The sequence below is a fragment of the Homo sapiens genome, chromosome 10, assembly GCF_000001405.40.
Source record: "Homo sapiens chromosome 10, GRCh38.p14 Primary Assembly".
Classification (NCBI taxonomy): domain Eukaryota; kingdom Metazoa; phylum Chordata; class Mammalia; order Primates; family Hominidae; genus Homo; species Homo sapiens.
Genome location: NC_000010.11, coordinates 77418839 through 77444375, shown reverse-complemented (window position 1 = coordinate 77444375; position 25537 = coordinate 77418839). Strand labels below are relative to the sequence as shown.

The 25537-nt window shown below is 45.9% G+C and overlaps 1 protein-coding gene and 1 pseudogene across 54 annotated transcripts in view; both read left to right on the top strand.

Moving 5' to 3' along the window:
* The window catches only part of KCNMA1 (potassium calcium-activated channel subfamily M alpha 1), a 768207-nt gene that overhangs the window by 193433 nt on the left and 549237 nt on the right, over nt 1-25537 (top strand). The window contains exon 1 of one of the 54 annotated variants that reach the window (XM_024447986.2): nt 12696-25528. The exons of the other annotated variants lie outside the window; for them this stretch is intronic. The gene's annotated coding sequence lies outside the window, so the exon portion shown is untranslated. Of the gene's footprint in view, nt 1-12695; nt 25529-25537 lie in introns of those variants that run through there. 54 annotated transcript variants of the gene reach the window in all.
* Nucleotides 10594-10804, top strand: COX6CP15 (cytochrome c oxidase subunit 6C pseudogene 15; annotated as a pseudogene).

Here is a 25537-nt window from a genome sequence, read left to right as displayed (position 1 = left end):
CCTCCTCCTTTCTTCATCCTTGGAGAATTTACTATGGCAAAACATTGGGTAAGTCTCTGGACTAAGTCTTTTCCCAGTGCAGGAGTCTGAACAAGTCACTGCAGTAATTTTGTATGCTGGCAAGCCCCAGCCCTATTAAGTAAGGTCCTGCAATGTGCTTGTCACCTTTCTAAATTAGAGCCTCATAGTCTCAAAACGGTCCTTTGCAGAAGGATTTCTTTTTTTAATGACTTAGCATACAGGTCAGTATCCCATGTGTACTTAGAAAGGATTTGTAATCTCTATTTCATATGCAGGAAGTCTCTCTCCCTTTTATAATTTTAATTTTATTTTTACTGATAAATAATAAATGTACATATGTACATGTGATATTTAATATAGTCATATAATTTGTAAAGGTCAAATCAGGGTTATTGGGATATCTATCATATTAAATATTTGTCTTTATGCTAGAAACCTTTGAATTATTCTCTTCTAGCTACTTTGAAATATATAATATTTTCTAAACTATAGTCACCCTACTGATCTATCAAACTCTAGGTCTTATTTCTGCAGAAGATATTTTTATTTTCATTTTAGCATTCAGTATTTCTTTATCACAAATCTATCCAAAGATTGTCTCCTTTGGTTCCATTTGAAAAGCAACCTAGAAAGCACTTTAGAGGTGGAGCTCAGATGTTGCCATTTCTGAATTAGAAATAATTTGGCTCAGAAAGGTTAAAGGAAACAGCACAGTTGACCTAGCTAGGAAGTGGCACAGCTAGGAATTGATCCCTGGCCTCTGATTCCAAAGCCCACTCCCTCCATGTTCCACGAGAGCCAATGCAGTGCCAGGCAGGGTAGATTCCTCGTGTGCTGGGGTCTCTGAACTTCATGAGGGGCTGCCATTCTCTCCAACTGGCAGCGTCTCACCCTGCCCTCCGTGTTCTCTGTGAAGCCTAGTCCAGCCATACTCCCAGCCTAAGAATAATTTTCCAAGTCATGACCACAACCCATGAATGCTCTGCAGATGCCCATGATGGGGGGATAGTGATGGATCTCAAGGAGGTTGGTGGCTATGCTAGACCATGAATGCAGGGCTTCTAGACAAACAGAAACCAGTCCCTGGCCTGCAGGAGTGTCCTGGAAGCCTGCCGGGACCACTGAGAAAAGCTTTCCATTGGGAAAACATATGTAGGCCCCTGGGAGGGACAGCCTTTCCCCCTCTTTTGGGAGCCAGTCTGGCCCCTCGTGGGATGATGGTGGCCCCCATGGGCTTTTTCTTTCACTTGATTTCCCTGTCTATGTGTGTGTACCCAGCCACCCTGGATCGTGGGTGTCACCATGGTATCCTGTCTCTGAGCAAACACATGAGCGAAAAAACAAACAAGCATTAGGAAGGAGGGCTCTCCCCCACACCTTGGCCACCTATGCGGAGTGAGGGACCCTGAGCCAGGTAGGAGGAGGGAAGGTGATGGAGATTAAACAGCAGGTGTCAGACAGTCAGGGAAATGCGTTTGGATTCACACTGGATGGTCAGGAGCCCCAGGTACCAAAGTCAAACATGCTGACTCCTGTGGCCACCTGGTCATTCCTCTTGGGTGTGAAGGAGGAGGAGGGGAGCGTGGAGAAACCAACAACTTAGCAAATGTGTGCTGAGTCCCATGCATATAGGTGATGGGAGTTGGACTCAGAGAAAAGCTGCCAGTAACACCCCTTAGCAAGCACTTGCTGTGTGCCAGGCTCTAGATGACAACCTTTACCTGCTCTCTCGATAGGTCCTCATAAGCAGTCCCTAGAGGTCAGTATCGTTATTGTGCCCATTGTACAGGTGGGGAAGCTGAGGCACTGAGCAATGAAACCTCTTGCCCATGATCTTACAACTAGTAAAGTAGCAGACCCAAGAGGCCAAGCCAGGCTCATCTGACTTCCATGCCAGGTCCCTGCTAAGATTAGGGGTAGGGAGAACAGCTTAGGAGCTGGGGCAGGAGAGTGCTTATGTGTGGAGTAGAGAAAGCCCATCCTAGATGGGGAGGTGGCGGGGGTCTAGGTGGCAAGGGGAACCCTGGGTGCCTGGCTTCCTCCTGCAGGCACTGGGAACATTTGCTCTGCTCACCTCCTGGCTCTGGATCCAGAGGAGTCCATTCCTCCAGGTGGCTGCTCTCGCCTGGGAATGGGGTGGGGGTGAGAGTGAAGGCTGAATGTGGGTGCAGTGAGTGGTAAGGTAGGAAAAGCTGTGGGTGGCTAGAGTGAGGTCTTGGCCCCATAGGCAAGGACATGCCTAAAGCAAACGGACCTTTCGAGTCTCCTGGGTGATCTCTTTCCTAAAACCCACCCTGACTCTAAGAACTGTGAGTGACCCCAGCACATCTCCTTGCTGGCGCAGTTGAGACAGGGCTGTCCCTAGCTCATCCAGGACAGTTCTGAAGCCGCCCTGAGGCTGTGGTGGCTCAGGTGGAAGACAATGGCCTGGAGGGAGGGAGTGAAATCCTACTCTCCAATCCTGCCAACTAGGGACCCTCTCTTTGTTTGCAAGACCAAAAAAAGAAGAAAAAAAAAAGATCTCAGGCTATTGTCCAATGCTTCTATTTATAGCTGCCAAATAATTAAGCGGATCAGCCCTTCCAGGATCAGAAGGGGCCATCTAGCTGGTGGACCATATGGTGAGTCTGCAGGGTCGCAGAGTGGTTAACAGGAGGGAAGAGAGGGGAGAGAGTTTGTAGAGCCTCTTGTTGATGTTCATGCTTCATTTCTTCTCAGTGTGTTTTTGGTCAACAGAAAGATTAAAAATAGCATTAAAAAATTCTGTTCTCTGGATATAACCCTGCGAGGGGGTGGGGGGACTTTGGATCATATTTACTTGCTTCCCTGATGACGCAGAGTGCCAAATTCTAAAGTCCTTAGGATGGAACCCAGCTGAAGACTTCCAGCTGAAGTATCCCCCTTCTTCCTTCTTTGGTCAGTCTCTGAGGAGTATCATGACCTTAACTTCTTGCTTTCCTCTGTCAAGACCCAAGGACTCCTTGGCCAACACTTTGGGGAATTTATTAATTTTCTCCCTGCACCCCTAGTGTATCCAGTGTGTCATCAGCAGACATTTGGGTCATGATGCTCCTCTACTCTACTGAAATTCCTCTATGACTCCCTATTACTTATAAGGCAAAGTTCAGACCCAGCCTCAGCTCACCCTTCCTGCACCCCTGAGCCATCTTCAGTCGTTCAGGGCCCTTCACCTTTCCAAACATGAGAGCTGGCCCTTTGAATTTTGATTCTTGGCCGGGCGCGGTGGCTCACGCCTGTAATCCCAGCACTTTGGGAGGTCAAGGAAGGTGGATCACGAGGTCAGGAGATCGAGACCACCCTGGCCAACACGGTGAAACCCCGTCTCTACTGAAAAAAAAACAGAAAAAATTAGCCAGGCATGGTGGCTGGCGCCTGCAGTCCCAGCCACTCGGAGGGCTGAGGCAGGAGAATGGCGTGAACCCGGGAGGCGGAGCTTGCAGTGAGCCAAGATCGTGCCACTGCACTCCAGCCTGGGCGACAGAATGAGACTCTGTCTCAAAAACAAAAACAAAAACAAAAAAAGAATTTTGATTCTTGCTGGAATGCTTTCTGCCCTACTCTCTCCTGTTCAAGTCCTGCTCACTCTGCAAAAGCCAGTGACATTTAACCTCCCAGGCTTCCTCCAACTCAGAATGAGCTCACGGTAGAGGGGTTTTTTTCCTCCCCTTTTCTGGACCGTTAGAGCAATTTTGTCTGAACACTTTCATTTGACAATTAATCATGTTCTCCCTGGCAGCATCTTTCCCACTATTATCTCAAAGAATTATTTAAATATTTTATCAGCATTTAAATCTTCACTTTTGTCTTGCTCCCTCCCCTGGACCGAGTCTTCCTGGAGGTCAGAGAGGGGGTCTTGGGCTTCTCTAGCAAGCAGCGTTTTGTGGTGGTCACCTGTGCAGGCTTCTGAAACTGTTGCCCATGTTTCACCCTTGCTCTGCCTCTTACTTAACCCTGTGGCCTTAGGAAAGTTTTAATTTCTCTCCTCCTGAGTTTTCTCACCTATAGAATGTGGATAAAAGTCACACCCACCTTGTAGAGTTGATGTCAGTATTAAAAACGTGCAAAGCGCTTAGACCAGGGCTCTGAGGTATCTGCTGAGCTCCTTAGTATGCCTCTTTCCCCTCCACCCAGCATCTGGCCCACTGTCTTGAACATAGGAGATGGCCAGAATTTGCTTGTTTTTTTTCCTTTGGTGTGGCGTCATTTGTAAAGCTCTGACCCAGAGAGGATAGGAAGGTTTCTTAAGGTCACATAGCAAGAAGTGGTGGAGAAGCTATGGTGTCAGAATTGAGAGTCCAGCACTCCCAGCCCCCGCCCTGGCCCCAAGGCCTTTCATAGGCAGCCCTCTTGCAGGGTCTTTACTGTGCGTGGGACACTGGAGAAAGCTGCTGTTTATGCTCGAACAACTTTTGCATGAATCAGATGGACTTGAAGATTGCCACCACTCTGCAGGACTCCAGGAGGACCATTCACATTGCATTCTGTGGGCATGGTATCCCCTTGAGGTGTACGAAGAGGCCCCAGGTGGGAAACCTCCCTGACAACCCTCCCATCCCACGAATGCAGCTAAAAGACACAGGAGGTATCAGGGCCACAGAGTGAGAATAAAATCCCACTGGAGCAGGTGAAAGGGCTCCGAAGATAGGTACCGCTGCCCTTTTCCGAGTACTGCCTCTCCTGCTGTCCCCTGGCCACTTTCAGAGAGCCCATGGGTTGACTTAGCCTTCAGGGTTTAGGGAGATATTTTGGGGTGGTGAGCTTTTCCCAAATACCCATCTCTCCCTGCTTTGAGCCAGGGGAGAAATCAGAGCTGGTTGGGATGTGTGTTGTGATGATGTGTGCAGATGTTCCTGGATCAACACTCTCCTTCCTGCCTGCCCCCTTCCCACCCCCATACTCCCCAGCCACAAAGGGAATGGGATGAGTGGGTTTCAGAAGAGGCCAAATTATTTCTAATTCAGAAATGGCAACATCTGGGCTCCACCTCTAACGTACTTTCTAGGTTGCTTTTCAGATGGAACCAAAGGAGACAATCTTTGGATAGATTTGTGATAGAGCAATACAGTAAAATTTAATGTTTATGGTATAATCTAGGTGATGGGATACAGGTATTGTCTGTGAAATCCTTTCAACCTGTTGTATGTTTGGAATCTTCTCTTCTCTTTTCTTTTCTTCTCTTCTCTTTTCTCTTCTCTTCTCTTCTCTTCTCTTCTCTTCTCTTCTCTTCTCTTCTCTTCTCTTCTCTTTTCTTTTCTTTCTTTTTTTGAGAGAGTCTCGCTCTGTCGCCCAGGCTGGAGTGCAGTGGCATGATCTGGGCTCGGCCTCGGCCTCCCGGGTTCAAGTCATTCTCCTGTTTCAGCCTCCCGAGTAGCTGGGACCACAGGCATGCACCATCACCCCGGCTAATTTTTGTATTTTTAGTGGAGATGGGGTTTCACCATGTTGGTCAGGCTGGTCTTGAACTCCTGACCTCAGGTGATCCACCCGTCTTGGCCTCCCAAAGTGCTGGGATTACAGGCATGAGCCACCTGGGCCACTACACTCGGCCTTGTTTGAAATTTTCTTAATAAAATGTTGTGGAGAGAAGGAATAAGGACTTTGTAGTAGCCAATCCTGGCTCTGCCCCTTTTTAGCTGTGTTACCTTGGGCAAATTACTTAATGTCTCTGAGCCTCAGTTTCCTCATTTGTAAAAATGGGGCCAATCTTACAACATATCATAGAGTAGTGAGATAATACATTTGAAGTACTTCTTTGTTTTTTTTTTTTTTTGAGACAGAGTTTCGCTCTTGTTGCCCAGGCTGGAGTGCAATGACACAATCTCGGCTCACTGCAGCCTCTGCCTCCCAGGTTCAAGCAATTCTCCTGCCTCAGCTTCCCAAGTAGCTGGGATTATAGGCATGCACCACCACGCCCGGCTAATTTTGTATTTTTAGTAGAGACGGGGTTTCTCCTAATTGAGGCTGGTCTCGAACTCCTGACCTCAGGTGATCTGCCCGCCTTGGCCTCCCAAAGTGTTGGAATTACAGATTCAGGCACTGTGCTTGGTACTACGTTTTTTAGAAACTGGATGCCAACAGAAAAATTAGAGCCCACATGAAAGTCTAGTTTTCTTCTGGTGTGGCGGCCCATGCTTCTAGTCCTAGCAACTTGGGAGGCTGAGGCGGGAGGATCACTTTGAGCCCAGGAGTCTAAAGCTGTAGTGAGCTATGATTGCACCACTTCACTCTAGGCAACACAGTGGGATCCCATCTCTAAAAACAAAAAAAATTAAAATTAAACCAAACATTTAAAAAAGTATAGATTCCCAACTTCTCTACACTGGCAGCATGGGGCCCAGCATTCACCTAGGTCTGGGTAGCAGCTGCACCCTTGGCCTCCGGGTGTGTGATTTCCAGGCCACCATAGGCTCTGATGGCCCATTCAGTTCTGTGATCCCAGCCTAACTCTTTAAAGCATTTGAGTTTGTCACTCCTGATCGCATGCAGCCTCTTACTTTAAGGAAGACGACCCGAGTCAGCCAGGTAAGGGATTTGCCTGAAATCATCTATTTTGTCCACAGAGCATGGTCCTGGCCCCGGTGCAGGCCTCCTGCCTCTGTATGTTGTGGCCTCTCTTTGTGGGTGACTAGCCCCTGCCATCAGAAGCCCATTAAGCTCTGTGAAATTCAGAAGCTTGGTCCAATGGGTCTTGGTTGTGGCTCTCAGGGGGCCTGGGGATAGGTTAGGAATGTATGTAACACTGTTTTATAAAATTATCACAAACCAAGTTCCCCTTGGTGACTTGTTCTGAATTTTCTATCCATGAATGTTTTTATATCTTTCTGCTCCAAAATTTTACCTGCTGTAAAACTATATAAGAACATTAAAAGACATTTACAAAAGCAGTCATAATCCCACCACCATAGCACAGCAGCTGTTCCTATCTTTGATTTTTAGAAATGCTTTCAATCACAGAAAAGGCTATTATTTTTATCCGGTGCCACTGACAGTATATTTTAACCGAACTTCCTGCCTCCCATCCTCCCACTCTCCCCTTCCTTTTTCTCCCTGTCTTGTGCTTTTCTTTACCCTCCATCCTTTCCCACCTATTGTCCACCAGGTACTACAATCCTTCCATCTTACATCCAGAGTTTCTGGAGGGTACAGCCACACAATGCTGCTCCGTGGCAGCCCTGGCCCACCCTAGGTAATGGAGTTCTGTGCTCTGTCTGGTGGTCAAGATAAATTCCAGATCCTGGGAGGCAGAGTGGGGAACACCAGGCATCAGCAATAAGCTAGACTTATGGCTCCAGGCTCTCTTTTCCCTCCACTAAAGTGGAACATTTTGGCTGAAGGAGTGTGTGTGTGTGTGTGTGTGTGTGTGTGTGTGTGTGTGTAAAGAAAGAAGACTGGAATAGTAGGACTTTAGGCACCAAGAATCCCCTCCCTTGCTAGCCTGGCATATTCAGATAATTTTCTTTTGATACCTCTGACCTGTAATAAATTTTAAGCTCCATATGGTCATCTTTACTGTGTATGGCATTCTTAGCATTTATGTATATTCATGTCAATAAATAGTTATTGCACTGTGTGCCAGAGGGGTATGTTTTAGTAGATGGTGATAACAAAATGCAAATGGCACTTCCTTAGGAAGTTCCATGTCATGTGCTGCTGGAAACAGCCCCTGCTTCTAGTGCTGTAGTACCTGTGTGACCTTGGCCAAATTACTTCACTTCTCTGTGCTGTTTCCTTTTCTGTATAATGGAGATTCTTAACCCTGCTGGGAGGATTAGTTAAATGAGATACTGTAAGTGAAGCATGTAGCACAAAGCTTGGCGAACCAATGGTGCAGAGATTCCAGTTCCCTCCCCTTCCTTTCTCTGCAAGTTTTCTTTAGTGCTTGCACTCCTGCCAAATGGTTAGTAATCTGTTAACAAACACTTAAGTCTTTAGGGGTGCTCAGACGACAAAGGGTTGCTTTTGGAGAGTGAAGAATCTTCTTGTAATATAAATAGTCAACTCCAATTCCAGTTTTAAAGTTTGGTACGCCTTGAATTCAACCTGTTAAGTTAGCCCAGCTCTATCTGGGGTTCTGGAAAAATCTATCCAAGCCTGATGTTGCTTGAGAGCAGGGCCTGGGTATGTGGCCTGTGAAGGCCAGCTTTGCTGTGATTTTCACCAATTTCCTTACAAACGGATTTTGGACCAGACTTGTGCAAGCTTCCCCCAGCAGGTCTTAGGAACATCTGGGGATCCAATTCAGCCTTTTCTGACGTTCTCTACGTGCAGGGCCTCCACCAAGTCATTGCCTTCATTTCTTAAGGGCCATTTGGCTGAACTTCACAAAGTGGTGGAAACACATATTGCACACACAGGTAGTCTAAGATCGGGAATAAAAAGATTACAAGTCCTCCCCTTTCATAGGCATCTGGGTCCCATGGTTCATCCAAAATGAAGACCTCTGAGCTCTGTCACTGCCAGGTGGATGGGTTGGGTACATTCCCTCCTCTCTCTCTGCTTTTCTGTCCTCATTTGTAACCCGAAGACCATAGGATATAATGAATCTGGGAGGGCCAGAAACTTTGGAAATCTAATTCAGTCAACAGACCTGTGTTGTTTAGGTGCTGTCTTTCTTCCATGCGCTTGATTTCTTTGACATTAAATAATCTGCTTATGGTGTTATAGGACCTGGATGTTGAAAGAAATGTTAAAGCTCATTTCAGCTTTATGGTTTCCCCACACCACAGGTGGTGTAGCAGATACCTTCTAGTGATATATGGACAGGACCCTGAGTCACCAAGGAGGGATTTAGTTCATTTCCAGTTTTCTTCCAGTCTTTCTAGTTATCTCAGGGAGAAAGTCTCGGTTTACTGTTTGAACATCTCTTAACCCTTGCCTGTCTCCCTTTTGAACAAAGGCACAGAACAGCCCCCATTGAGACTGCATGCAAACGGAGGCATCTACCTAGAATTTCATACCCTGGTTTTGTTTTGCATTTATTTTGAAAGTTTTCTTCTATTTTGTTTATTTTGAAGGTTATCTTCTATTTCTTCACTGGTGATACCAGTTTTTCACATGTGGTAATGTTACGGAGTATCCTTAAGATATATTTATTTAAGCTGGGTGCAGTGGCTCATTGCTGTAATCTCAGCACTTTGGGAGGCTGAGGCGGGAAGATCGCTTGAGCCTAGGAGTTTGAGGCCAGCCTAGGCAACAGAGGGAGACACCATCTCTACAAAAAATTAAAAAAAAAATAGCCAGGTGTGGTAGCACATGCCTGTAGTCCCAGCTTTTCAGGAGGCTGAAGTGGGAGGTTGAGCCTGCAGTGAGTTATGATCACACCACTGCCCTCCATCCTAGGAGGCAGAGTGAGACTCTCTCCCCAAAAAAGATATCTTTGTTTAGTTAAAAAATTTGACTCCATTGAAAGAAAAATGTTTAGTGAATAGCATAGGAGTCATGCAGCTAGGGCAGAAGTTGTGATGGGAGTATGTGAATAACACATTTAAGAAGCACTGATCCAGTCCTTCTTCTAGATTAGTCCAAAACCCGCTGACCTTGACTCCATTTCTGACCCCACCAGTGACAAATAACAAGGGGGAATCTCCCACTAGCCAAAAAACTCCTTGGAGGCAGGGGTGGTGTCTTTATCGTCCTTGTATTTCCAGTGCTCGACACCGGCACTTGGACGTATTCATCTATTTCACCCGTATTGATGGAGCACCTGTTCCTCAGCAGCTGTGTTCTGGGTTCGGGGGTCCTGTCGTGAGAGATGCCATGTGCAGCATTGAATATCTTCATACAAAAGAATGTATGTCAATCCATAATGGTCCAAGACATGCATCACGCTAATAGGGGAGCCTCTCGCTTAGGAGAGGGTTGAGCTGGTGCAGGCTGGCCTTGAGATGTGTGTCGGGAGACTGGTTCTCTCAGGGATGGTGTTCTTCCTGAACACGATCTTCCCTGTTCTGACCGCCAGCAGCTCCAGCCCACACTGTCCAGAACAAGATACCTCCTTTCCACAGGAACGAGACACACTTCCACAGCAGCAGGAAGAATGCCTGTTCTGGTGCAGTCTGATTTTCAAGCAGTTTGTTCTTCTACAGAGAAAATAGCCTAGAAGGTGAGAGGCAGGCCTGGCTGCAGATGTCTAGATGTGCCAAGGCCCCTTGCCAGTGGTCAGCAGGCTGTAGCGCTGGCCTGAGCTTGTAGTTAGTGGGGACTGTGGTTGGGGAAGCCGAAGGAAGCTTGAAGCTAGGTGGTGACGTTGAAGATAAATGTCCCGTGTGTTGAGTGAGGAAGGGACAACTCTGAGGTTGGGGCGTGTTGGTGACATAAAAAGTTTAACTGAGCTTCCTAAATGGGAGGCATTCTGTATTTGGCTGTGGCTTGATGGAATTGCAGTTACCCTTGTGGCGTGGGAATCAGCCTCGGGACCATTAGGATATTATGATACAGTCCCTTGGTGCCACTGATTGGCGGTGTCAAACTCATCTGTCAAAAAATGAAATCGATCAGCCAGGAAGGATGCTGGTGTTGAGGCTGACATACCTTTTGAGCATAATAACTACTGTGGCTTCCGGTGCTTTGACAAAACCTCAGATACATGGCCTTCTGGCTGAGCATCTGTGATTTCATATTGTTGGCGCATTTGTTATTTCCCTGGGGGTTGCAACCCTCTGTAACTTTGCTGTGGCTGAACTAAAAAAGAAGGCATACACGGATTCTACAGAAATTATGATTCTATGAAAGATTTTGAGGAGATGAGGTATCTTTCAGAGTGCAAAGTGATTTTGGAATATAAAGTATTCCTTTGGGAAGAATTACCTAGAGATTTGTCACTGACCTGTGTTCTTGAACTATAAAACATGAATATGTGGCTTAAGAAATAGTTTTTCTTAAGGCTGGGCACAGTGGCTCATGCCTGTAATCCCAGAATTTTGGGAGGCCAAGGTGGGCAGATCACTTGAGGCCAGAAGTTCAAGACCAGCCTGACCAACATGGTGAAACCCTGTCTCTACTAAAAATACAAAAATTAGCCAGATGTGGTGGTGTGCACCTGTAGTCCCAGCTACTCGGGAGGCTGAGGCGTGAGAATTGCTTGAACCCGGGAGGTGGATGTTGCAGTGAGCGGAGATCATAGCATTGCACTCCAGCCTGGGTAACAGAGTGAGACTCTGTCTCAAAATAAAAATAAAAATAAATAGTTTCTCTTGACAAATAAACAACAAATTTTTAAAAATGAAATCACCTTTGTTTTGAAAAATTGAAACTTACCTCATGACCATTGCCTGATTCCTGAGTCCTGCTCCTCTCTGAATATGAAGTTGCGGAGTCTTTTTAAATTCATGAACAGATATCCGTGATCTTTTCTCACCTTCAGGGAGGTTCAAGGCTCCCTAATCTCTACTCCATCCCAATCATGAACACTTCCACCCTCACTCAGTCCCTTCCCCCTCACCATTCATGACCCTCTCCTTCTTCCCTCCCTGCCCCTTCCCCCTCTGTAAGTCTCTCTCGCCCAGGTGTAGGATAAGAAAGTGTTTTGCAACCTGTTTGGTAGTTTTTTAAAAGTTGAAAGTTTAATGATTTGTTGTTGTTTTTTTTGAGTGGGACCAGAGTGTCCCAGCCTTAAATGGCTCTTTTGAAATGACAGTATGGAAGAAACACAACATTGAAAATGGGGACCTTTGAGATCTCTGCTGTCTGGGCCTGGCTCTGCCACCACTTCCTTGTGTGAGGGTGTATCTGGCCTTTCCCTTTCATGGGCCTCTGTTTCTCATTGACCATAGAAGGGATTTAGGTCCCTCATTTGAGTGAGTCTCTTCATTTCTGCATGCCAGTTGGCTTGTTGCTGTGACAGTGACTCCAAAGCTCATCTTCAGGCTTCTGCTTCTGAAGTTCATGAGTCTGACACTGGATGGCTGTACTTGGGTTCCACAGTTGTGAAATGGGGAAATAAGAGAAGCAGGATGACTGCTTGTTTTTGATGGATTTTACGAAGAGCATAACAGAGTAAGAGTAACAGGTGAGCAGGGCCTTCCCAGCCTCACGCAGTGCCTAGAATAGTGCTCATAAGTGACTGATTAAGTGAAGGAACATAAGGTGATTCTATGAGTTTTGTGCAAAGCAATCAAAAAGCCTCAAGGAGGCAAAGTCCCTTTGGCCTCTCATTAAGCACTACTTTATCCCAGTAACCCGAAGGTGCTCAGAAGGGGAAAGGAAAGGAGAGAGGTAGAGTGCAGCTGTGGCTCTGGGAGCCTGGAGTCCTGCAGGTGTGAGAGGCTTGCTGTATGCTTCTCCTGCCCCGAAGCTGAGCATCCCAACCTCCACACCCTTTGCTGTGAGCCTTTTTTTTTTTCAGAGATAGAGTCTTGCTCTGTCGCCAGGCTGGAGTGCAGTGGCACGATCTTGGCTCACTGCAACCTCTGCCTCCCGGGTCCAAGTGATTCCCGTGCCTCAACCTCCCGAGTAGCTGGGACTACAGGTGTGCACCACCACACCCGGCTAATTTTTTATATTTTAGAGATGGGGTTTCACCATGTTGGCCAGGATAGTCTCAATCTCCTAACCTCGTGATCCATCCGCATCGGCTTCCCAAAGTTTTGGGATTACAGGCGTGAGCCACCGCTCCCGGCCTTTTTTTTTTTTTTTTTTTTTTTTTTTTTTTTTTACAACAGACCAGACTTCAGGGGCATGCTGCAAATATCTAGCAGTTGCTGCTGCATTTGTGTTGCAGCTGCCCTAGGGCTGAGCCCTTAGTCTCAACTCAGTGGTCTGCAAGCTGCCTGTGTATTCTTTGGACTGGCTGGAGCCAAGGTAAACCAAGAGGGGGCCCCAGGTCTGCCCTCTGGCTGAGACTCTTGGCTGTTCCTGCATCCATACACTCTGCTTAGAATGTCATAAAAGGATTAGAGAAATCCCTAGGACACTGTTCTGTTCCCAGGGCTGAAAGAGGATTCCTGGAATACCAGAGGCCTCAAGGTATGATTACATTTCAATCCCCATGCAAAATTGTAGAATGTCATACCATCCAGTTTCTCTGTCAATATTAGTTCTATTGTTTGCAATCTGAGAATGGGAGCCAATCTATGGCCTCTCCAGTGCCTGCTTTTGGCAAGAGAGACCATCAAGAGACTGAATGACCAGTCACTGCATGTTTTCTACCTAGAATGATAGGAAACTGGTCCCTTGATGTACTGTCTTCAGGAGGGACATTGGGCTGGCTGATCTGAGCTGGAAATTGATCTTTTATCTTTCTGAACTGGCGCAAGTGAAGAGATGACAGTAGATGTGTCAGGGAAGCGGGGAGCTGCCATCCTAAAAGGAGTAGTTCCCTGCAGCCTGGAGAGGCCAGGGTAGAATATTTCCCAAGAAAATCATGAAGAGGACAGAGAGGATTGGGGAGGCTTTATTGTGTTGGTGACGATCTGTGAATTATAATCAAGGCATGTTGATGGACAAGTCCTTAGCATGTGTTGCCTAACAGTTTATTCCTTCCACCTAACTTAATGGAGGCCCACTCTGTGCTCGCCACAATACAAAGATGTATTGCATTGATACAAAGACGAATCAGCTTTAGTGATTCTCATGGGAGTTGTACTTATAGTAGATTAGCAGGTGCATGGACATGATGTAAGTGGATGGCGCCTCCTTGCACCCTCCCTTGTTATGACCACTGTGAGGTCCTTCTCAACTATGTCTGCAAAAAGTGCCTGCTTTGTCTGTTCTCCTGGGGAACAGAAATGCTGATGTTTCACTAGGCGTTGTTCCTAGGTGAGTATTCTGGATGGTGGTGGTGGAGCCTATAAACCAAAACATGTCTGAAAGAGTTCTCAATCAATTTAGAGGTTCATTTTGCCAAGGTTGAGGATGAGCCCAGGAAAAAGAGATAAAGGCTACAGTAGACTCTGTGGCCTGTGCTTTTTCCAAAGAGGGTTTTGAGAACTTCAGTATTTAAAGGCAGGAGAGTGGGAAGGAGCAAAAAGAGGGACACTCAATAGTGCATTCGGCTCCTGCTCAGTAAATCTTGTATTTTACATAAGATAAAGTAAACATAGAGTAGAGGAAGAAGAAGTCAGATCTGCATTTGTCTTGAGGTGGGCAGAGGGATGATTTCTAGTCTTGTCTTTGTCCCTTACCTGTGAAGATACATTGTCAGGGTGAGAGAGGCTACCTGGGGAGATAGGTGACCTTCTCTCTTGCAGCAATCTGTTTAGGAACAAAGAGAAAGCAGCTTTTGCATGACAAAGTTCACTCTTTCTTTTGGCATAGTGAGTTGAGGGTCCCAAGATTTTACTTTCCTTTCACAAACCAAATTGTGACATGGCTGTGAGAGGATGGTTTCTTGTATCTTGTATCTTCTTGAGGATTAATCTAAATCATTTGTGTAAGAGAAGGAGGTAGACTGGGAATCAGGACTTCAGCTTCTATGCATGGCTCTGACACTCATCTCTTAGTAGGATTTTGAACCCTGACTTGCTTATTGCTTCAGTTCCTCTTGTTCAATGGAAAGGTTGGGTTGCCTGATATATCATATATATACATATATGATAGATACATATTAACATATATATAAATCACAATATTCTTTGGAACAGGAACTCTGAAAGATGCAAATATAGGAATAAAGGGGTTTTGTTTGAGAAAGCTTGCAAGATGTTAGGTCAAACAAAACAATTAAATAGTGTTCTTCTTATTGCAGAACTTTTTAGGGCCTTTAATAGACTACTATGGGGAATTTCCAAAAGAGGGTACAATATGCAGTGATTCTCAAACTTAGTTGACCATAGAATACTTGTGTTGGGGAGAAGCTTATGAAATTAATATTCCTTGGAATTCTACTTTGGGAATTGTAAGGGTAGACCAGCGATGTTCAAATGGTGGCGATTTTGCCCTCGAGGGGACGTTTGGCCATGTTGGGAGACATTTTAGTTGTCACAATTAAGGATGGGGGTGGAATGGAGGAGAATAGCTACTGGATAGATGCCAGGGATGCTGCCAAACCTCCTGCAATATACAGGACAGCCTCCCACAACAAAAAGTTTATCCATCTAGCCAAAGTGACAATTGTGCTGAGGTTGAGAAACCCTGAACTTAAAACCCCCTTCTGTTCCTGGCTCTAACACTTGGGGGATTAGGTGGTTTGGTGACCCTTCCGAACTTGGCATACCAGTTCACCCTCAGGCATCTTTGGCTCTTGAACTGTATATTATTCTCTAGAAGGCAGGAGAGGTGAGGCCTTTCATACTCATCCCTGCAGACCTGCACATTTCTGGCACCAGACCCATATATCTATATATCTATATATTCATTTACCACAGCCCAGCATTCCTGGCAGCCTGAGAGCTGGTGGCTAGTTGAGAAGAACATTTAGTCTCCCTTTCCTGGGTCTTGTTTCCACCCCTAGTGGCCAAGCTGGGGCAGCTCGCTTTGCTCTGTGGTCTGACAAACTTGGATTTCAAAACCCACTGCCTGCCAGGAGCAGTTCCCGCAGACAGAGCTCAGATTCCAAGAAGACTATCTGGCTCTTAGAGATCCATCATCTTTATGAAGTTTTAAAATCACAGATGGTTTTTATGGATATTCAAGGTATTCCAGCCTTTCATGTTTTCTCTTCATCCCTCTTTCTTCCCCAATCACACATTTTTCTCCAGTAACCAAAACACAATAGGTAATGGAAATTCCATTACAGGCTGACCCACAGAGACTGCATGGGACCAATGCAATTATGTCTGGAGCAAAGCACTGTCATGACTAATTAGCCTCTCACATAAATGAATTTTCCTATGGATAACTTCAGAAAAATCAGCCTGCAAAACACACTCCTTATTAGTTTTCCTTCCTTCTCTGGGCTTCGGAGTTAGGCTTTCCCTAAGGATTCTCTCCACCACTGGGCCACGTGAACAGTCTAGCCCATGGTGGAAATCCATTTTCTGCTTGCTCTTCACCCCCTCAGTCCTGTGCTTAGTTTCATTAGAGACTAAGTCTCATCAGAGACCTCGTTATTTTTAGGGTGATGAGCTATTTATTGAGCAACTTGCTTCTCTCTTGGAAGGCAACATAGGCAGTGATGAGCAGGGGCTCTGTCACCCCAGCTCTGCACTGACAGTAACTTTGGGGGAACCTTGGAGAAGCCACATTGGGACCTCCTGGTTTTGTCTTCCCACCTGTAGAGAGGGGCATTGTCCTTGATCTAGAGATATCAGCTGTGATTGAATGAGTGTAATTCACGGAGCAGACTTTATTGGCCACTGAATTTAGAAGGGATTATAAAACACATCTTCCTTCAAAAGGATGCTTAGAGCTGGGCATGGTGGCTCACACCTGTAATCCCAGCACTTTGGGAGGCCGAGGCAGGTGGATTACAAGGTCAGGAGATCAAGACCATCCTGGCCAACATGGTGAAACCCTGTCTCTACTAAAAATACAAAAATTAGCCAGGCGTGGTGGCATGCACCTGTAGTCCCAGCTACTCGGGAAGCTGAGGCAGGAGAATTGCTTGAACGTGGGAGGTGGAGGTTGCAGCAGTGAGCCGAGATCATGCCACTGCACTCCAGCCTGGGTGACAGAGCGAGACTCCATCTCAATAAATAAATAAATAAATAAATAAATAAATAAATAAATAAATAAATGAATGGATGGATGCTCAGGATTGGATGACTTATTGGGCAAAAGCCTGGGCCCTTGCTTAATTGGTTCAGACATTTGTTGAGTGTTACCTATGTGCTAGGAAGTACTGCTATTTCTTCTGAAGGTTGTAGAATCTCTAAATATAGAGACAAAAAGAGAGGGGAGGGAAGGCCCTTGTGAGGTGTTAGCAAAGACCTCCCACCACCACTGACTGGCACTGATTCAGTATCTGTATCTGGGTGCTGTGCCAAGTCATCTCCACATCTCAGCTAACACCCTCTGTGGTGCATATTGATAGTGCCCCCTTCCAGGGGAGGGCACTGAAGCTCACAGAGGTTAAGAACCCGTCCAATAACATCTGAGTTAGTAACTAGCAGAGGTGAGATTTGAGCTCAGTTCTATCATACTCTAAAGCAAGCCTCTTCACTCTGTGTCTGCTGTGAGCATTGTTTTGAATGGGTCCTTGATTCCCAGCCTGTATTGACTTTCCACTGCCTGGGTGCTCCAGCCAGGCTCAGGGCTCTGGGGAATATATAAGTGACCATCTGGGCTGGGACAGCACCATGATGCTGATGTGCACCAGGAAGGGCTGCCTTTGGGAAGAATTGCTGTGCACTGCACTCAGAAATTGCATGTGCTAGATGTTGGAGCTGAACTCCCCTAAGAGGAATTTTCTAAGTGGATTATGAAATCAATTTAGTGAGTTGTAATCAATGTTAAAAAATACAGGATATCAAAGTACATTCCATGTAATAGTGTAGGTATTGTTTCATGAATCCTGTGTTGCAATTACTTGTATAGTAGGTATGTGTGGGTCACGATGTAAAATGTATTTCTTACTTTGGGTCCAGGTCACAAGTTGGAAAGCGTGGCCCTGGAAGGAGGTGGGGCATGCAGCAGTGCTGCAGAGGGAGGTGTGCAGGCTTTGCCCTTTAAGGCTCTGCTGGGGATGCCTTGAAGAAGGCAGAGGGCACAGCAAGTCCTGGCAAGTGGGTCAGCAAACTCACTCTGACTGGCTCTATGAAGTGCTGCAGGGGCTTCAGAGATGTTATAGGGGAGGCCCCTACCATTTGTCAAGAAAGTGGGAGAGAGACTAGCTCTGCTCCGCAAGACAAGAGACTATAATAGTCAACATCTACAAGAATAATAACAGCAGCACACTGTATCCATCTTTAACTAACACGAACTCTAGCGCAGACTGTCTGGATTTATATCCCAGCTCAACCTCTTATAACTGTGTGACCTCGAGTCGTTCACCTAACCCCTCATGCCTATTTTCCTCATCCGTAAAATGGGCATAATAATAGTACATACTACATAAACTTGTTGTGAGGATTCAATGAGTTACTATTTAGGGAGTGCTCAGAACCATACCCAGTAGACAGTCATCATATATACATGTCTGTTATATACAAAAAAAAGTCATATAAGCTTTATATGAGTGCCCAATAGAAAGCTTTACCAAGGCAAGACTTGAAGCAGGCCTTGAAGATTACTCCATTGGATCTTCTTCTTTTCATCTCTGTCATCAATAACTGTTTATTTCAGGGGCCATAAATATGTTCCAGACACTGCAGAGTCCTTCACGTATGTCCTACAGTCTGGTGAAGTGGGACTCATATGCTCATTTTACAGATGAGGAATGAATATTTAAAGAGAGTCCAAGCCAGGCCCCGATTATTCTGGCTGTGTAGTCTGTACTCTTGAATCAGACGACACAGTCCCTCTTTGGCCTGCCATCTGTGTTGTACTGGGGTCTGGAGATGGTTGGTGTCCTGTTCTGCCCCTTGCTTAGCTTATCCTCTCTCAGCCTCAGAAACCAAGGCCCTGTGTGGACAGAAAGCACCGCGATGAACACAGGTGCCTATTTGAAGTGCTCTGTTGTCCCAGACTGGAGGCCAGCAGACTCCTAAGCAGGATGTGTCACCTAGCAGAGACCCATGCATTTTTAAATGTCCTCCTGCCTTTGGAGACAGGTCCTGAAAAAATACCAGAATCATTAGGACTCTTAGTCATCCAGTTCAGCCTTGGGGAGCTGAGTATCACAGCCCTGTTGTCAGCAGCAGAAGTCCTGCCACCTGGACAAGGCTGGGAAGGCAGCCCACATTGCCGCACCAGGGAGACCCCAAGACCAATGCCTCTGGGGTCGATGTGGGATGATTGGTGGTTGACTGATGGCAATAAATGAGGACAAGGAGAAGGCAGGGCCCCTCAGCTGCATGCCATGGGCAGGTTTCAACAGAGTGTGGGCTACATGTCCAGATCTCACCCAAGCACTGTGGACAAACATGAAGGAGAAGGCAGGGCTGCTGCCCACATGGGGAGTCTCATCTATTTGGGGAGATACCAGTGCTCAGAAGCCTAAATTCAAGTGCTGCAGGAATCCAGGGAGGGGGCATTTAGGGAAACTGGGGTGGTTGTGTAAAACTTCCCCCAAAAGAGAAAATTCAGGTGAGGGTAACCAAGATTTGGAGTGACTACAATGTTAAATAAATCGGGGCAATGTGTTTATAGATAATGTGCTCTCCTTCTGCAAGCTGCCACCAGCCTGCCAATACTTATATCCTCATCCATCCATCCATCCATCCATCCATCCATCCATCCATCCATCCACTCATCCATCCATCCATCCATCCACTCATCCATCCACCCATCCATCCACCCATCCATCCATTCATTTATTCAGCACATACCTCCCAGGTGCCTGCCCTGGCCCAGGCCCAGTGCTAGGCCCTGTGTAGACAACGAGCACAGTTGCATGCTGCCTCTCCTTCCTGCTCATGGTCTAGTGTGGGAGACCAGCATTGAACAAATAAATCAGCAAATAGCTGTGAAATTAAAATCACAGTGAGTCCAACAAAGGAAATGAATGGGTTGTGATGAGAAAGAACAAGGGGGCCCTAATTTGGACTGAACCAGGCTGAGTGCATCTGTCAAAATCATGCCTATCCTTTGAGGCTCAGCAGAAATACCACCACCTTCATTAAATCAGTCTGTTCCTGCCATTTAACAGGTCCTCTGCCATACTCTCTTCCTCCCTGGTGTCATATTCTACCTTGATTTAGTTTTGGGTACTTGTCTGTTTCCCCTGAGAGATCTTCAACTCCTGGAAGGAGAGATTGTATTTTTTTTTTTGTCTGAGAACCTGTTGTGAGTAATCCTCTCTCAGAGATGCCCAGGTGAATTGTTGAATGAATGAATGAATGAATGAATGAACACAGATCTTCATTCCTAGCCCCAGGCTTCCACTATGGGTATATAGCAGTCCCTGTGGTGAGAGCACCAGCTCCAGAATCAGCTGCTTACTGACTTTGTGACTGTGGGCAGGTGCCTTGACCTCTCTGAGCCTTCATTTGCCATATGGGGGCAGTGCTATAAATAGTTGTAAGGATGGAAAAGATTAGGGCATGTGCATTACTTAGATTCATACTTGGCATATAATGCTTTATAAGTTAGAAGGAATGTGCTAGACACATCCAACAACTCTCAGAATCCTCACAAATCTGCTGCAAAGCACTTATAATTATTCCTGTATTATAGCTCAGAAACCTGAGGTTTCAAAGGATTAACTAACCTGCTGTAGTTTGCAGAATAAATTAGATTTTAACACAAAGCAAAACAAACCAACAAAACAAGGCCAATATGCAAACCTGGGATTGTCTGACTCCAAAAGCTTGTCTTCCTTGACAGTGTCCCATTCCTCTGCCAAGCTGAATTCTCACCTCTGCAGACAGAGGCTGAGATGTTTGCATTTTGGAAGCTCACCGCCTGGCCAAAGGCTAACATATTGTTCATGGATGGACTGGACATTTGAAATTACATGCTGGCCTTGGGAGGGAAGAGAGAAGGAATGCTTGACTTCCACGGGGTGCCTCTGCCTTACCCATCTCAAAGAATCAGACCCCTCTCTCATTTTTCAAGGGCCTTGGGGTGAGCATCCTAAAAGTCTCACAGTCTGTTGCAGCAGAAAGCGTGGCTTTGTCCCCCCTATAAAACATCTGGAGATTTTCAAGTTTGTGCAGACCCCATGTGAGCAGCCAGCCCTGGGTTGGCATGGATTGGAGAGGCAGAGAAGGCATTCACTTGGCTCTGATTTTTCATCCTGTGGCCTCAGAGCTTCAGAATACAGAGTCCCTACCCCTGGTGTCTCCTTCCTCTCCATCCACCATGACAAGCTGTGTCCACATTCTCTTTTTGGCTCTTTCCTAAGGTATCGGGCACAGGACTATGTCTGCCCAAGAATAAAAATTATACCCCTTATATTTCCAAAAGGAGAGGCATATAATTTATGACTAAAACTGGGGTACTCTGACTGAAAATATCTACTGCTTAGCCGTTTCTATGTCGATTAGAGAAGGTGTTTATAGCTCAGAACTAGAGGAGAAGAAACCATTTCTTTGTCACTGAGAAACTCCTTGCCAGGGTCTCTCAGTGAGAAACAGGACATGTGGAGCCCAAGATAGGGCAAAGCCAAGTCTCCTTATCTTATTTAGTGACATTTTTTTAAGAGTAAAAAATAATCACATGCTTTTTGCCAAATCCAGCCCTAAGGCATGGATCCAACAAAACATCACATTAATTAGATAATCTAATTTCCAAAAACAGACCCCAGCGCAGACACCCACTGTCTAGCAGTGATGACAAAGGGAACAGACAGCTGACATCGTGGCTTCCTCCTTCAGAGTTCATGTGGACACCTACCAAGAATAAGGCCTTGGCCAGAGCTTTATCTGTCCTTGGACTAGAATGTTTCTTAGTGATGCCATAACAACGGGGTTGACTTAAAACAATGTTAATTTATTGTCTCACAGTTCAGAAGGCTGGAAGGCTTAAATCAAGATGTCAGCAGGGCCAGCCTCCCTCTGAAGCCTGTAGGGTTTCTCCTTCCTTGCATCTTCCGTGTTTCTGCTGGTGGCTGGCAGTCTTTGACTTGCAGCCACCACTCCAGTCTCTGCTTCTTTGGTCATGGGGCGTTCTCCCTATGTGTGTCTCTTTCCTCCTCTCCTAGGGACACCAGTCATATTGGATTAGGAGCTCACCCTACTCCAGTATGACCTCATTTTAACTTGATTACATCTGCAAAGACCTTCTTTCCAAATAAGGCTTACCTTCACAGGAACTGGGGATTACTATTGAAACAAATCTTTTGGAAAAAAACACTGCAACCCATTACAGGTGCCTAAGACTAGAAAGATGGGTCAGAGCTGCTACTGCCAGTGTGAGAAAGTGGACAAGTTGGAGTTCACCTGGGAATAAGATCCTTGGATGGAGGAGCAAACTCCAGCTAGAGGACCGAAGCCTTGAAATCATTTATTCTGCAGATCAGTGTTTCTCAAAACGGGGTTCCCCTAGCCATCAGCATTAGCGTCAGCTGAGAAACATGTAAGGCATGTAAATTCTTATGCTCCAACCTAAGCCTACTGAATTGGAAACTCTGGGCTGGGGTAGTTTCTTATTTTAATAAGCCTTCCTGGTGACTCTGATGCACACTAAAGTTTGAGACCCATTCCTCTAAATTCTGCCGTCTCTCCTCACTGCATCACTTTTCAGTGGGGCTGCCCTTGGACACTGGCAGATATTTTGGGTTAAAGAAGAAAGTTATTTGGTCAAAATGAGTGTGGGCAGCATTGTATTGGTCTATGTTGAACAGGTTCCTTGACTGAAGGCTATCTCTGAGCTTTTGCTATGCTGTATGCAGTGAGCATTGAACATTTGTTAGAAGAGGAATGATGGCATTTCCAGATTTCACTGCAAAGAGAAGTGTCCCTTTTGTATGGAGTTTCCCATCAGACTGGTGTTCCGTGAATTTACACTGGGAAACATGGCTCTAGTCCACATATCAAGGCATTCAGTGAATTTTTATGAACCGCCTTGTGAGAACAAGACACTGTGCTGGAGAGATACATCTGTGAACAAGACGTGGCTTCCGTCTCTAGGAAACTGATAGTCTAGTGCAGGAGCTGGCACACCACAGGCTGTGGGCCAAGTCTGGCCTGCCATCTGTTTTTGTATGGCCCATTAGCTAAGAATGGTTTTCACATTTTTAAATAGTTGAACAAAAATTTTAAATGAAGAATATTTCATGAAACATGAAATGGTATGAAATTCTGATTTCAATGTCTCTAAATAAAATTCCGCTGGAATACAACCACACTCCTTTGTTTATATATTGTCTAAGGCCACTTTTGCCCCCCAGCAACAGAGCTGAATAGTTGCAACAGAGACCATATGCTAAAGCCTAAAATATTTCCTATCTGGCCCTTTACAGAAACAATTTGCCCACCTCTAGTCTAGTGAAGCAAAGAGGCCCTGAACAAGTACTTGCAAATGCCTTGAGTGTTATGAAGGAGCAGTGCAAAGACCACATGATTGGAAGGTTTTATTGACTGATAGCAATGGTGGTGGTGGAGTGGAGGTGGAGGGTGAGTTAGGAAAGGCTTCCTGGGGAGAGATCTTAAATATGAGTAGGACATCTGGAATATGACTGTGTGAAGAAGGTTGTTACAGGAAAAGGAAACCTAGGACATGCAGATCCCTGAATTAGAAAAGAGGAGTGCTCATTGAAGGAATGCAAGAATGTCCAGTATTGCTGTGGATTAAGGGAGGTGAGGCCAAGAGTATTTCAGTATGTGGCCAGATGCCTGGCAAAGGCCAGATGTGCCAGAGCATCTTCGACGGCCATGCTGAGGGCCTTAACTTTTGCCTAAGAGCAAGGGGGAGTCCCTGAGAAGAGTTTAAGCACAGGCATGATGTGACTGATAGAAACCTTGTGGTATCTCTCTGGCTTCAGTGTGGAGAATGAGGGGCAGAACTAAGTGGGAATTGTACCATTGCATGATACAATGTAAATGATTATGAAGCTTAGGAGTCAACCAGGGGAGAGAAGCTGAGATGGAGAGAAGTGGGTAGATTTGAAAGGTGAAGGTTCTCTGTGATGCTTGGCCTCCCTCCTGCCAGGCCCTTTGTGTTCTCTGACAACCTAAAGAACCTTCCTTCCTGGTTACTGGGTCTGTGCTCTTGGACCCTGATATATTAATAAATATTGATTGTTTGTTGCACACCTGCTACAAATCCACCAGGCCCAGTGCTAGATGCTATGAAATATAAGAATTAATAAGCCCTGGCTCCTGACCTCAGGTTCTTAGCCGGGAGACTGATGGATGTAGCCACTGGACTAGAATGTAATGAGGACTGATAAGCAGAGAAACAAGTGATATCTGAGGGGACTGATACCTGAAAGGAAGTATTGAGCAAACAGCCCTGGAGACGTTAGCTCTACTGAAGAGGTCTGGAGAGGCTTCATGGCAGAGGCAGCGTTTAGGCTTTCTCTTAAACAATGTGTAGGATTTGGGAAGGAGAACAGTGGTCATTAATCCAACATGAGCACAATGACAGGTCTATTAACAGCCTCCGGTGGGTGCAGGGGAGGCTAGGGGAGCCATGTGGCTGGCATGAGCCATCAGTGGAGGCTTACAGAGAGCAAAGAGGTGCTCCTGTTTTGGAAACTCAATCTAGACTCCTGATTGCTTCATGTGCCTGACAGTTCAGTGAAGGCTGTGCTGGGACCATGAGTTACCCTCAGCAGTGGATCAGCAGGGCAGCAGAAGACCCACTCTTTCACTGATGGCCAGGGCCCTGCGTACCCCAATTCACTTCAGGCCCTTCCAAGGCAGGTACAAATCATGAATCACATTCCCCTCTCTATGACTTTGTTTATAGGCAGAGCTCTAAAGCTGGGATAACAGCAAACTGCATCAACAAGTTCTCTGGGGCCTCTAGCCCATTGATCCTATGACTTGTTGTGATTGCCCCTGACCTCTTCACTTTCTTCTTCAGTTTGGTGCTTTGGCCACTGGGACCAATGACTTCCACTGAAGTTTTCTGGTTCTCAGTCCTGCTTTCCAGGGCTGTGACACAGGGTGATTTGCAGACTGATTTCTGTCCTGTGCCAGAAGATACTTAATAAATGCTGGCAATGACGATGGGTCCCTGAAGAGCAGTTTGCCCAATTTATTTTTTAAAGACTTTAAAAAAATAGTATAGACAGAAAAGTCTATAAAATGAAAAATTACAAAATAGCAAATTATTATAGAAAATTTGTGTCACTACCACTGAGTTCAAAAAATAAAATACTGTCGGTATCCCCAGAAGCTTCCCTGACCATCCCTTCTCCTTGGCTGGCGTCTCACCTTTGACGTCTCAAGTTCAAGAAATCTGAGTAACAACTCTTTCTGCCTAGCTTCTAGTAAGAAAAACAGCTGCAAAAGGAGAAAAACAAAACAAAACAAAACAAAGAGACTTGGGATTCAGGTAACCACCTGACCTTTCTTCCGGATCTGCTCCTCCAAAAAAGGTCTCCATCCCTGTCAGTGCTAAGGGCTGGATGGTTAGTTGTTATGGAGACGTGGGGCGTCTTTCCAAGACGCCAGCAAAGTTGATGCCTGCAGCGCTCTGGCAGGTCCCTCTGCTCTGCAGGGCTCTTCTCTCCTTGCAGTTGGCAGATCCTTATAATAAGAGACTTCTGAGATGTAAAAGGAACTCTCCCCTCATGTGACCTTCATGCCAGTCCCCCTGGTGCCACCCCACCTCAGTGCAGTAGCTGAGCAGTAACAGAGGGACAGCCAGTTTCCCTCTGTCCAGGGGAGATTGTGGGTCTTCAGGTGAGAGTGTGGCGGCACTAACAACAGCCTAGTCACAATTCATTAGTAAACTTGGCATTCAGGTTACTGACATTTTTGCAAACTGCACTTTCTAACAATTACCCTCTGGTTAAAATCTGTATTTGTAGAAGGAGGCCAGTCTGAAAAGGAATGAGGGGAAGAACGACTTCCCCTGGAGAAGTCTGAATGAGGTGGCCCTCTCTTCTAAAAGAAAGGTGTGTGCC